The 13,636-nt window shown below is 37.7% G+C and overlaps 1 protein-coding gene and 1 long non-coding RNA gene across 7 annotated transcripts in view; one reads left to right on the top strand and one right to left on the bottom strand.

Moving 5' to 3' along the window:
* The window catches only part of ARHGAP20 (Rho GTPase activating protein 20), a 136,147-nt gene that overhangs the window by 71,506 nt on the left and 51,005 nt on the right, over positions 1-13,636 (bottom strand). The gene's annotated exons all lie outside the window — the stretch shown is intronic.
* On the top strand, positions 11,681-13,433 carry LOC124902754 (uncharacterized). The gene is made up of 3 exons (XR_007062889.1): positions 11,681-11,784; positions 11,993-12,157; positions 13,375-13,433. It is a non-coding gene; the product is annotated as an uncharacterized LOC124902754 (long non-coding RNA).

A 13,636-nucleotide genomic window follows, 5' to 3' on the forward strand; every position in this document is an offset into this window, starting at 1 on the left:
ATCTTGGCCCACTGCAACCTCCACCTCCTGAGTTCAAGTGATTCTCCTGCCTCAGCCTCCCGAGTAACTGGGATTACAGGTGTGCACCACCATGCCCAGCTATTTTGTATTTTTAGTAGAGACGAGGTTTCACCATATTGACCAGGTTGGTCTTGAACTCCTGACCTCGAGAGATCCACCTGCCTAGGCCTCCCAAAGTGCTGGGATTATAGGCATGAGCCACCGCACCCAGCCCATGAAATGTTTTTAAGTCAGTAAGTCCCTTATGTTAGCCTGAAATAAAATATTCTCATGTCTTTTTTGATAAAAGTACCCCAAAATTCAGGTAACTGAGGTTTCCAAGTAACTTGATTATTTACTTTACTGTATTAAAATTTATTCTAGGTAGAATAAAAGGAATAACATATTAAGAAGACACTAAAGTTTTAGATAGGGCTGCCTTAACATCAAGTGTTTCATGCAAGCCTGTGCTGGGGAATCTAATTTTGACATGTATGTTTTGAAGCATTAAAATCTAACATTTTAATTTAAATACTTTCTCTTTGCAAACAAAAATAAAGACAAGTCTTAAAATAAAAGCTTTAGATGACTTTTAAACAGTAAAGAGAAACAATTTTTATACTTACTATTGTTTGTTTTCCAATTATTAAACCTTTTTTTTTTTTTTTTTTTTTTTGGAGGGGGTCTTGCTATGTTTCCCAGGCTGGTCTCAAACTCCTGGCCTTAAGTGATCTTCCTGTCTCAGGCTCCCAAAGTGCCAGGATTACAGATGTAAGCCACCACACCCAACCAACATCTTTCATTTCATTTCACTATCCCCAAAACAAGAAACAAAACAAAAAACAGAAATCCTCTAAATCGATCAGGCACAAGTTGACTGCCATCAATATGTATTGAAAACAAAGTATTTAGATGTAAAAATGAGACAAGCTTAAAGTTGGTATCATAGAAAAGAAGTATATTAATAGAGTTCAAATATTAAGAGTTTAGGAGTCAGAATGTGTCCTTCCAACGAGGCGGTGAGCTGGGAAGAAGTGGGGTGGGCAGGAAGGAAGACATCAGAAAAAACTTTACAGAGGAATCAGTGTTTCATTTGAATCTTTCAGAGAGTTACATTTTAGACAAAAGAAAAAAACTGTAGAATAAAAAGATGTGTGATATGCTAAAAGTTCACAAAGCTACTTATTGCAAAGCCAGACCTGGAAAAACGGTTTCCTGAAGCTCAAAACAAGTAGATTTTGGATTAGGCATAAAATTTTGGACAGAAGCAGCAGTTTTGACAGTACTTTTTAAAATCTAGTTTTACTAGATCTCTATTTTTCCAGTTCTCTCATTGAATGAAATAGGTCATAATGAAAAAAATGTGCTAAAAGGTCACTGAGGACAATAAAAACTCCATAGCTTATGTTTAAATTACCTACATTTCTTGATCTTTCTCCTCTCTGAGCACATAAACTACATGAAATCTTTAAAAAAATCTCTGTGTCCCTGGTATATGAGCAGTATCTGACTCATAATGGGTGTTATAATTATTTGTCGACTAATAATAGCCTACAATGTGCTACTTAGCACTTAATTATACATCTTTTGTGTTTTCTACTTATTTTATATCTATATGCCATGTTTCCCCAGCTGGATGGTAAGCTCCTAGGGGGCACTTTAATTATAGTATGTATCGAGGTAGGATGCAAATCTTATTTCTGAACCCCTGTTCCTAGAACTGTGCCTAGTACAGAGGATTCAAATGTTGCAGAATTAATAGCTAAACAAAACAGCATCCTTAGTTTCTTCTATAACTACAAAAGTAGAGAAATCCTAAAGCCACTTTGATCTGCATCTGTGGTGCTACAAATAATTTTTAATTAGAGTAGAGTGGGGATGGGAAAGGGAGGTTTTTCTTTCTTTTGGCTGGTAATCACCACAGTTCCAGTAACCCAATGGAATACAGGATAAAGAAAGTAACTAACTCTCTTGAGTGGAGGCAGACTTATCTGCTTATCTGCTCCCATTCTCTACCTTTATGTCTGTAGTCTCACCTCTACATCCACACCACTCTATTGCTGGAATTATTTTCCACTAGTGCTTCTAAATAAAAATTAAAAAAGGAAGAGGGGAGAATTCAGGAAAGATGAGTACTTCATGCAATTTAGTTCATAGCAGCAGGGATTTTTTTCAAGTGATCAAAGCATTCTAAAAAGTGAGAAAAAGTTAAAAGCTGTTAGAAATAACTTTAGCCAACTGTCTCTCTTGCCCATGCTAACAGACTCTAATTCAGACTTACCCCTCTCAAAGACCTGGGTTGTGTACACATGTGCTAAGATGCCCAATGTAGTTCTGGAATTCTAAGCCCTGATGCGAGGACAAATCTTTCAATTTTGCTACTTACAAACTACAAAGCTTGGCCACATGGCACTTATTCTAAAATTGATCACATAATTGGAAGTAAAACGCTCCTCAGCAAATGCAAAAGAACTGAAATCATAACAGTCTCTCAGACCACAGCACAATCAAATTAGAACTCAAGATTAAGAAACTCACTCAAAACCACACAACTACATGGAAATTGAACAACCTGCTCCTGAATGACTCCTGGGTAAATAATGAAATTGAGGCAGAATCAAGAAGTTATTTGAAACTAATGAGAACAAAGAGACAATGTATCAGAATTTCTGGGATGCAGCTAAAGCAGTGATAAAAGGGAAATTTATAGCACTAAATGCCCACATCAAAAAGCTAGACAGATATCCTAACATCACAACTAAAAGAACTAGAGAACCAAGAGCAAATAAACCCCAAAGCTAGCAAAAACAAGAAATAACTAAGATCAGAGTGGAACTGAAGAAGGTAGAGACATGAAAAACCCTTCAGAACAACAACAAATCCAGGAGCTGTTTTTTTTTAAATTTAATGAAATATTAATAGACTGCTAGCTAGACTAACATGGAAGAAGAGACAGAAGAATTGAATAGATGCAATAAAAAATGATAAATGGGATATCACCACTGACCCCACAGAAATATAAACAACTATCAAAGAATATGATAAACACCTCTAAGCAAATAAACTAGAAAATCTAGAAGAAATGAGTAAGTTCCTGGACACATACACCCACCCAAGACTGAACTAGGAAGAAGTTGAATCCCTGAATAGACCAATAATGAGTTCTGTAATTGAGGCAGTAATAAACAGCCTACCAACCAAAAAAAAAAAAAATAAAACCCCAGGACTAGACAGATTTATAGCTGAATTCTACCAGAGGTACAAAGAGAAGCTGCTACCATTTCTTCTCGACCTATTCCAAACAACTGAGAAGGAGGGACTCCTCGCTAACTCATTTTATGAGACTGGCATCATCCTGATACCAAAACCTGGCAGAGATACAACAAAAAAAGAAAACTTCAGGTCAATATACCTGATGAACATCGATGCAAGAATCTTCAATAAAATGCTGGCAAATTGAATCCAGCAGCACATCAAAAAGCTTATCCACCACAATCATGTTGGCTTCATCCCTGGGATGCAAGGCTGATTCAACATATGCAAATTGATAAATGTAATTCATCACATAAACAGAACTAGAGACAAAAACGACATGATTATCTCAATATATGTAGAAAAGGGCCTCACTAAAAATACCTAGTTTATTGTTAAAAACTCTCAAAAAATTAGGTATTGAAGAAACATACCTCAAAATAGTAAGAGCCATTCATGACAAACCCACAGCCAGTATCATACTGAATGGGCAAAAGCTGGAAGCATTCCTTTGGAAAACCAGCACATGACAATGATATGCTCTCTCTCCAGTCCTATTCAACATAGTATCGGAAGTTCTGGCCAGGGTGATCAGGCAAGATAAAGAAATAAAGGGTATTCAGATAGGAAGAAAGGAAGTAAAATTGTCTGTTTACAGACAACTTGATCCTGTATCTGAAAACCTCCTTCGTCTCAGCCCTAAAGCTTCTTAGGCTGATAAGCAACTTCAGCAAAGTCTTCAGGATATAAAATAAATATGCAAAAATCACAAGCATTCCTATAAACCAACAACAGACAAGCAGAGAGCCAAATCATGAATGAACTTCCATTCACAATCGCTACAAAGAGAATAAAATACCTAAGAATTCAGCTAACAAGGGAAATGAAGTACCTCTTCAAGAAGAACTACAATCCACTGCTCAAGGAAATCAGAGAGAACACAAACAAATGGAAAAACATTCCATGCTCATGGATAGGAAGAATCAACATCATGAAAATGGCCATATTGCTTCAAACTATACTAAAAGACTATAGTAACCAAAACAGTATGGTACTGGCACAAAAACAGATACATAGATCAATGCGACAGAACAGAAAATTCAGAAATAAGACTACACATCTATAATCATCTGATCTTTGACAAACCTGACAAAAACAACAATGGGAAAAGGATTACCTGTTTGATAAATGGTGCTGGGAGAACTGGCTAGCCATATACGCAGAGAATTGAAACTGGACCCTTTCCTTACATCTTATACAAAAATTAACTCAAGATAGATTAAAGACTTAAAATGTAAAACCCCAAACTATAAAAATCCTAGAAGAAAATCTAGGCAATACCACTCAAGACATAGGCATGGGCAAAGATTTCATGACGAAAATGTCAAAAGCAATTGCAACAAAAGCGAAAATTGATAAGTGGGGTCTAATTAAACTAAAGAGCTTCTGCACAGCCAAAGAAACCATAATCAGAGTGAACAGACAATCTACAGAACGGGAGAAAATTTTTGCAACCTATCCATCTGACAAAGGTCTAATATCCAGAATCTACAAGGAACTTAAAACAAATTTACAAGAAAATAAAACAACCCCATTAAAAAGTGGGCAAAGGACATAAACAGACACTTCTCAAAAGAAGACATTTATGTGGCTAACAAACTTATGAAAAAAAGCTCAAAATCCCTGATCATTAGAAAAATGCAAATCAAAACCACAATGAGATACCATCTCATGCCAGTCAGAACAGTGATTATTAAAAAGTCAAGAAACAATACATGCTGGTGAGGTTGCAGAGAAATCGGAATGCTTTTACACTGTTGGTGGGAATGTAAATTAGTTCAACCATTGCGGAAGACAGTGTGGCAATTCCTCAAACACCTAGAACCAGAAATACCATCTGATCCAGCAATCCCATTACTGGGTATATACCCAAAGGAATATAAATCATTCTATTATAAAGATACATGCACACATACTTTTATTGCAGCACAATAACAAAGACATGGAATCAACTCAAATGCCTATCCATGATAGACTGGGTAAAGAAAATGTGGTACATATACACCATGGAATACCAGGCAGCCATAAGAAGGAACAAGATAATGTCCTTTGCATGGACATGGATGGAGCTGGGTGCAAACTAACACAGGAACAGAAAACCAAACACTCCATGTTCTCACTTATAAGTGAGAGCTGAACAATAAGAACACATGGACACAGGGAAGGGAACAACATACACTGGGGCCTGTCAGGGTGGTGGAGAGGGGGAGCATCAGGAAAAATAGCTGATGCATGCTGGGCTTAATACCCAGGTGTTGGGTTGATAGGTGCAGCAAATCACCATGGCACACATTTACCTATGTAACAAACCTGTACATCCTGCACATGTACTCTGGAACTTAAAATAAAAAAATACAAACCCTGGCATATACTCAAAAATATTTGCTGAACTGAAGTCCAAACTGAACTGAAGGAAATCAAGAAACATTAAAGTAGTCACCCATTGAACACCAGTTATGGGGAGCCATCATATTAAAATCATCATATTAAAAGTCGTCATTCTCAAAAACATTTTCCTTATGTTCAAATTATCAAGAGATTAATCACAATGATCACAAATTAGTGCTAAATAACAAATGTCTTAATTTCTATTTTACTTAAAGTCTTTAAAATTTTAGTAATAATGAAATACTTATAAGTAACTGCTGATGCACATTAAAGTGTGAAAACCACGTATTAAAAGCCAGACAAAATAAAATTGATAGCTTAACTAAAACCAAACCACATTTTAAGTCATTTTTCACATAGCTAAAATGACAACATTCCCTTAACAAACCAGAAAGCATGTATTGCATCTGTGTTGGTAGAACGAGCAAACACACATGTGGTCTGATTTATTTCCAGACTGTGAGAAGTTTATTGCAATGCTATAAGGTCCTTCCTCTGAACATTCAGCGTAAGTGCTAAAGCAAAATTCTCCAGCATAAAGGCCTACCTGGAAAGAGAGGTTACAGGGAAAGTGCTCAACCAATTCTATCATTCCCAATACAATTATATTGTAAATAAATTCCACGTGTTTCTTAATCTAGGGGTTGGGAGAAGATTTGACAATAAATCTTTAAGCAGAATACAATTAGATTCCAGTAGGAGTTTCATTCTCATTCTTTACAAAAAGCTTCTCCACTGACCCCAACTCTGGATGTCTACATGGTGAGTTAGTATTCCATAAAAACAGATTCAAATTAACTACATTTGAGCTACTCTAGACTATATTCTTCTTTATTTAGCACCAGGAAGCTAAGTAGTCAGCTTTCTGAAAGAGAAGAAAACATAAAGGGGATTGGGAGAAAGCCTTCTCCTGGAACCACAACTTAATGTGCCCAAAACATCAGCAGAACAAATCAGAGTCCCTTCTTTCATGAAGCTAACAATCTAATGAGACACATGAAATAATCAGGGAACAGAAAATTTTAAACTATGTGGTACCAACTCTAAGTATAGTAGGAAGAGTCACTGTCTTAGAAAGAATTCTCAAGTTTAGTGAGAATGAGATTTAAATCTACCTTATCAATTAATTACTAGCAGTAAAATCTGGAGAGAGGAAGCATGAGAGACCTATATGTGAATTACAGCTAGGATTAATGTGTTTTGCGTTGGAACATTAACGTAAGCTCCGCAATGCCAAGGGTTTTTGTCTGTCTTGTTTACTGCTGTGTCCCCTGAAGTGCTTGGCCACAGGAAATACTCAGTAAGTATTTACTAAATAAATTATGATTATGAATATCTATCTTGTTATGGTCTTGTAAAGCGCCTTGTAGACAGTCATGGGTTTCCTCTGAAGGTGGCAGATACTGTCAGGGTTAGTGATCAAGGAAGAGGCAGGTCTTTGAAGTGGGTGAGAGTATCTATCTCTGATCTCTCACTCTTTAATCTGGGAGCTCCTTGGGGTTGGCACAGAGATGACCAAAAAAGAGGGAAAAGAACAAGTCCTATTTTATAAATGATATTTCCTAAGGCTATGTGATTGTCTCTATTTCCCTTAGGGCCAGGCATTTCTCTGAGTATCTTCCATGGGATGTTAATAGGTGTCTAAGATCAGGGAGGCCTTTCCTGACTAACCTAGTCACTCTCTAATTGTCCTAGTTTATTTTCTCATACGAGACATGAGAACAACTTTACCTTCTACTACCTTAATTTGTTTGTGTGTTTTGCTATCCACGTCCCTCCACTAGAACGTAAATTCTATAAAAGCAGGGGCCTTAGTGTGTTGTCTGGGATGCTAGAGAGTTTTTCTCACTGTTGATGCTCTCTCTACTTTCAACTTTCAGCAGTCCCTAAACACTAGGACTATGTGGAGGGGGTGGGAGGAGTCTCTTGTAGCTACTGCTCCTCCTCAAGCAGTACACTCCTACTGCTTGTTACTCAGCATTAGGCTTTTGGTGGGAGCACGTGGGATTCTTAGTCCTTCTTAGGCTAAGCCTGTGTACCTGAGCCTCTGAGGTAGGGTCTTCTCATTTTCCTGCCCCTCCTCAATCCTGTGGCTACCAAATTCTACTTTGAATTGGTGGAAGCTCTTGGGCAAAAGAGTTTCCAGCTTCTCCTTTAGTGGTAGCAGACCTCCGCTTTGTATTGGTGCAGAATCGAGAGACCAAGAGGCTTTTCTGCCTCTCCCATATATGGCCTTTATTTCTACTTCTTCCCCAGTGGGTATTTGCCTGAGTCCTCTTAGTAAGGGAGAGAGTTCCCTCTCCAAGAGGCAGATGGGTTTTGCTTCTACCTCTCCCCAGGAAGTAACAGAAGTTCACCTAGGCCCTGGGGATGAGAGGGTTTGCTGCTCCTCCATTGTGAGTATTAAAAAAGTTCTGAGAAAAAGCCAGTGCTTCAGGTGTCTTGCCAAGTCAACAAATCAACTTTTGCATGCTCAGCCACTGAGGTGGGCTCTCTTCCATCTCCTGAACTACCTCCAAACTTTTTTTGGGAGAAAATCAGTGGAGGCCCATGGAAAAGAACCCGCACGTGAATGTCAACTCTGTGTTCTGGGGATCCCAGTTACTAAACTGATACTTTAGCCCATACTTGGTGCCTTTAAGAAATGCATTCAACTTTTAATTGATTTCTTTTTACCCATTTTGTTGACAGCTACCTCTTCCTCCCATGCTCTTCCAAAGGTAAAACAGTTTATGTATCTTATCTCTTTTTAGAGGGGCTTGCTACTCTGAAATTCAGTTCAATTGGTTGTTTTACAAACTCAGTTCACTAATGGATTCAAGAGAGGTTATAATTTTTAAGATTATATAGCCTTTATTCATTGCTAAAATAGAAATGATGGTCTCTTGAGGATTTATTTTATTAAGGAAAGCAGCAGTTTTTAGCCATTTAATATTTTTTTCTCAATCCTTGGTCCTTTAAAATATGAGTTAAGTTTTTGTTGTTAAGTCCATTCCAGTTCTAAATTTCTGATTCTGAGACCACAGAAAGGAAATATAAAGCTGGAGTTATCAGGACAAGAGAATAAGAAACTAAACCTGGCTATGAGGTAGTCACTGGCCACTGAGAGGCAGAAACCTAAAGAAATGATTATGTTAAAATGTGTGGTGAAGGAGATATAGTTTACATTAAAAAAAACATAATGGGAATTTAGTGTGGGGAGTGGGAGAAGCTTGAAGAGGAAAAATAGGATGATCTGGCCAAGAAAAGTATCACAAGGCATAAGCTGAACTGACCCTTGAAGTAATTATCTAAGTAGACAAACAGAAGGGGAGTATATTCAAGGTAAAGGGAGGCAAACAGACCTTAGAAATGTCTAGGGCTGGCTGTGCACAGTGGCTTATGCCTGTAAATCCTAGCACTTTGGGAGGATGAGGTGGGCAGATCACCTTAGGCCAGGAGTTCGAGACCAGCCTGGCCAACATGGCAAAACCCCATCTCTACGAAAAATACAAAAATTAGCCCGGTGTGGTGGCACATGCTTGTACTCCCAGCTACACGGGAGGCTAAGGCAGGAGAATTGCTTGAACCCAGGAAGCGGAGGTTGCAGTGAGCCAAGATCGTGCCACTGCACTCCAGCCTGGGTGACAGAGTGAGACTCCGACAAAAAAAAAAAGAAAGAAAAAGAGAGAGAGGAAGGAAGGAAGGAAGGAAGGAAGGAAGGAAGGAAGGAAGGAAGGAAGAAAATGTCTAGGGCTGAAGTATGGGGAGGAAGTTCCAGAAGATGAGAATTAAGAGCAAAAATTTAAGAGTCAGACAGACCTGAGTTTGAAACTTGACCTACCACTTAAAGACTATGTGACTTTGGATAGTTGAGTAAGCCTTTTAAACTGCATTTTATCAGTCTGTCAAATAGAAGTATTCATGCCTACTCCTCAGGGTTGTTGTGAGGATTAAATGAGATAATCTAAGTAAGGCACTTAGCTAAACACATCTGGAACACATCTGTGCTGAATACATAATGGCTGTTACTACTGATAGTAATGGTTCTCCATCACAGAGTAGTAGTAGCACTACACATCCTCTGCAGCCCTATTCATTTGGGACTTTTCTAGAAACCTGAAGGAGCCAGAGGGTCACATGCTTTAGGAAAACATTTGTCTCCCTGTGGCTCGAGAATAATTCTCTTCTTCCTTAAGGTACTACAGTTCCTATCTCCTCATTGGCACAAAAACTAGAATATATATTTAAAAGTAGCTACGAAGAAAGACCTTCCTACTAGAAAACAGTAAGTAATAATTTATGCCTGACAAGTAGGAAAAACTACTAATTTCATCTGTTTCTCTGCCTCTATGTGAGAAGGAAAGCAGACAAAAAAGGGATAGGCTAAAACATCATTCTTATTTACAAGGTAGAGTTTAGCCCAGGTTTACATAATGCAAATACAGTGAAACACAGACAATATATTGTTAGGCAAGGACTTCATTTCTGCACCGAGAACTGAGGTTTAATCCATTCCTCCAGCATCCAAGTACTCAGGTTGTTGTTATTTATTGTTTTGTTTTCATGTCTTCGGTTACCAGAGCCTGCAGTAGCTCTCCAGACACTTAGGAATCCTAAAAAGGCTTGGAAATTGCCCTTCAAGTGTTGCTAAGGAGTTAACTATATCGCCTGAAACTCATTCCCTGGGCTATCCCCTCCTCACTCTGCTTAATCACTTCTAAGTAATTTAACCTAGAAAATACCCTAGGTTCCAAGTCTTTGCTATTGTGAATAATGCCGCAATAAACATACGTGTGCATGTGTCTTTATAGCAGCATGATTTATAGTCCTTTGGGTATATACCCAGTAATGGGATGGCTGGGTCAAATGGTATTTCCAGTTCTAGATCCCTGAGGAATCACCACACTGACTTCCACAATGGTTGAACTAGTTTACAGTCCCACCAACAGTGTAAAAGTGTTCCTATTTCTCCACATCCTCTCCAGCACCTGTTGTTTCCTGACTTTTTAATGATTGCCATTCTAACTGGTGTGAGATGGTATCTCATTGTGGTTTTGATTTGCATTTCTCTGATGGCCAGTGATGATGAGCATTTTTTCATGTGTTTTTTGGCTGCATAAATGTCTTCTTTTGAGAAGTGTCTGTTCATATCCTTCGCCCACTTTTTGATGGGGTTGTTTGTTTTTTTCTTGTAAATTTGTTTGAGTTCATTGTAGATTCTGGATATTAGCCCTTTGTCAGATGAGTAGGTTGCAAAAATGTTCTCCCATTCTGTAGGTTGCCTGTTCACTCTGATGGTAGTTTCTTTTGCTGTGCAGAAGCTCTTTAGTTTAATTAGATCCCATTTGTCAATTTTGGCTTTTGTTGCCATTGCTTTTGGTGTTTTAGACATGAAGTCCTTGCCCATGCCTATGTCCTGAATGGTAATGTCCAACAATGATAGACTGGATTAAGAAAATGTGGCACATATACACCATGGAATACTACGCAGCCATAAAAAATGATGAGTTCATGTCCTTTGTAGGGACATGGATGAAATTGGAAATCATCATTCTCAGTAAACTATCGCAAGAACAAAAAACCAAACACCGCATATTCTCACTCATCGGTGGGAACTGAACAATGAGATCACATGGACACAGGAAGGGGAATATCACACTCTGAGGACTGTTGTGGGGTGGGGGGAGTGGGGAGGGATAGCACTGGGAGATATACCTAATGCTAGATGACGAGTTAGTGGGTGCAGCGCACCAGCATGGCACGTGTATACATATGTAACTAACCTGCACAATGTGCACATGTACCCTAAAACTTAAAGTATAATAAAAAACAAAAAAAAAAAAAAAAAGAAAATACCCTAGGTCAGTGGTTGTCAAATTTTTAAGCCTATATCAGAACTACATATAGGGCTTGTTAAAACATAGAATGCAAGGTTCTACTCTTGGAATTTTTGACTCATTATGGGGCAGGGCCCTAAAATCGGCGTTTCTAACTTGTTCCAGGTGATGCTGATGCTACTGGGGCTAGGACCACACTTTGAGGATCACTACCCTAGGAAGCTTTTGTTTTCACAGAGTGGTGTACCTTCCAGGTACCTAAAGGGTGAGTCAAGAGACCAGTCACTGGCCTACAGAAAGAACTGTGTGAACCAGATACAAGTACATAAATAATAACATGGTAAGCCATGTGCTGAAAAAAGATGATTTGTTCTTCCAACAGTTTTCAAAAGGGGTTGAATCTGCAGGTTTAACTTGGGGGTAGGTGGAAAGTGCTGGCAGGTCAACCTTTTTATTCATATTATTTTCTCTAGATCCTGGGAGCACAGAGCCAATTTTTCCAAGCCCATCGACAGATCTACCCTGCCTCCTATACCAAGACAGGGTATTCCCAGAAGTACAATCCCTAAGGACAAATATCCTGACCTCTCCGCAAAGTCATTCCTCTCAGAACTAAAAGAGGTTACTCACATTCTCAGGTGAATATTTTCAATGCCTTAGGAAACAAGCATGTGCTGTTGCTATTCTTTTGAATGTCCTGTGTATGATTATGTTGGTCTTTTTTTTTCATCCACTCTCTTATTTTTAAGGCCAAATACGAGAAAAAAATTGGGGCTAGAATAAGGACAATGAAAAACTTGGGCCCTGTCTCTAGTTCCAACACTACTTGCTCTGTAACCTTAGGCATCCAATCTCTCTCACTTTTACACTCGTCATTCATAAAATAAAATGCCCAGTGAAAACTGACTGCAGAGTTCTATGCCACAGATTCTGATGCTCAGTTCAGAAGTTTACATAATTCCAAAACAAATACATCAGAAGACCATTGTCAAACCAGTAGTTTCACTTAAAAGTTATTCCATCTGTTCAGTGTTTGCTGGGGGTTAAAAAATAAAAAGCTATTACTGATTCCATCTTCTTTTCCTGTCTTTATCCTATTTTCATTTTAATAAAAAGCAGATAATTATTAAGTCCAAGAGGAATTAGTCTATTTCAGTATCCAGGTGCACAAACATAACCATCAACTCATTTTTATATAATAAATGAAGAACTTATGTGTTTATCTGAAACATAGAGGGGAAAAAACACAGTGGGGGAAAAACAGCAGGAGGACAAGAAATTCATTCTCATAATTTAGTTGAAAAGGGCCTTTAAAACCAATGAATTAAGTTTGCAAGTTCAGTGATAGTTTACTTCTTACTGTAATTCTGACATAAAAATATTATCTGGGTACAAATGCCCAGTTTAAGAAAAATTCAGTAACCCTCTCATCATTAACACAACCAAATTATACTTAAAAAACTGATATAGTAAAAAAATTCAACATTTGTTTTTATATAAAGAACATTTTTTTCTCTATACTGCACTGATGAATTCTTATTTTTATATCATGAATTTCCTGTTTTCATAGCAAAATAAACATAATTCACATTTATTTAGCATAACATATACTTTAAAATGTTTTACTTCACACGAATAGATATTTAAATTAAAAGTACTCTGATATAACATATTAAGACACTGTTAGTGAGGCTGTGGTAAAAACAGATATTCTTCTACGTCACTAGCAAGAATGGGAATGGTACAACCCTTATGAGGGAAAAGTGGTAATATTTAACAAGATAGTATATAGCAATCCACTTCTGCAATGTAGAAAAAATACAAAAGATATAAGCACAAAGTTTTTTCACTGCAGGATCATTTATAACCAGAGATTGGAAACAACATAATAATTCATCAGTAAGGAACTGGCCGAATAAACCATGGCATACGTAAGCAATGAATTTACAGGAAACTGTAGAAAGGGAAGAAAAGTATCTCTATGTACTGGTAAGGAGTAATCCTACAGCTATATCATTATGTGAAAAAATAGGGTGGAAAAGTATATACTATATTTTTGTTTACGTAAGAAATATATATATATAAAATTCATAGTTGCTTATATCAAAAAGGTTAAA

This window comes from Homo sapiens, chromosome 11 (assembly GCF_000001405.40).
Source record: "Homo sapiens chromosome 11, GRCh38.p14 Primary Assembly".
NCBI classification, from domain to species: Eukaryota; Metazoa; Chordata; class Mammalia; order Primates; family Hominidae; genus Homo; species Homo sapiens.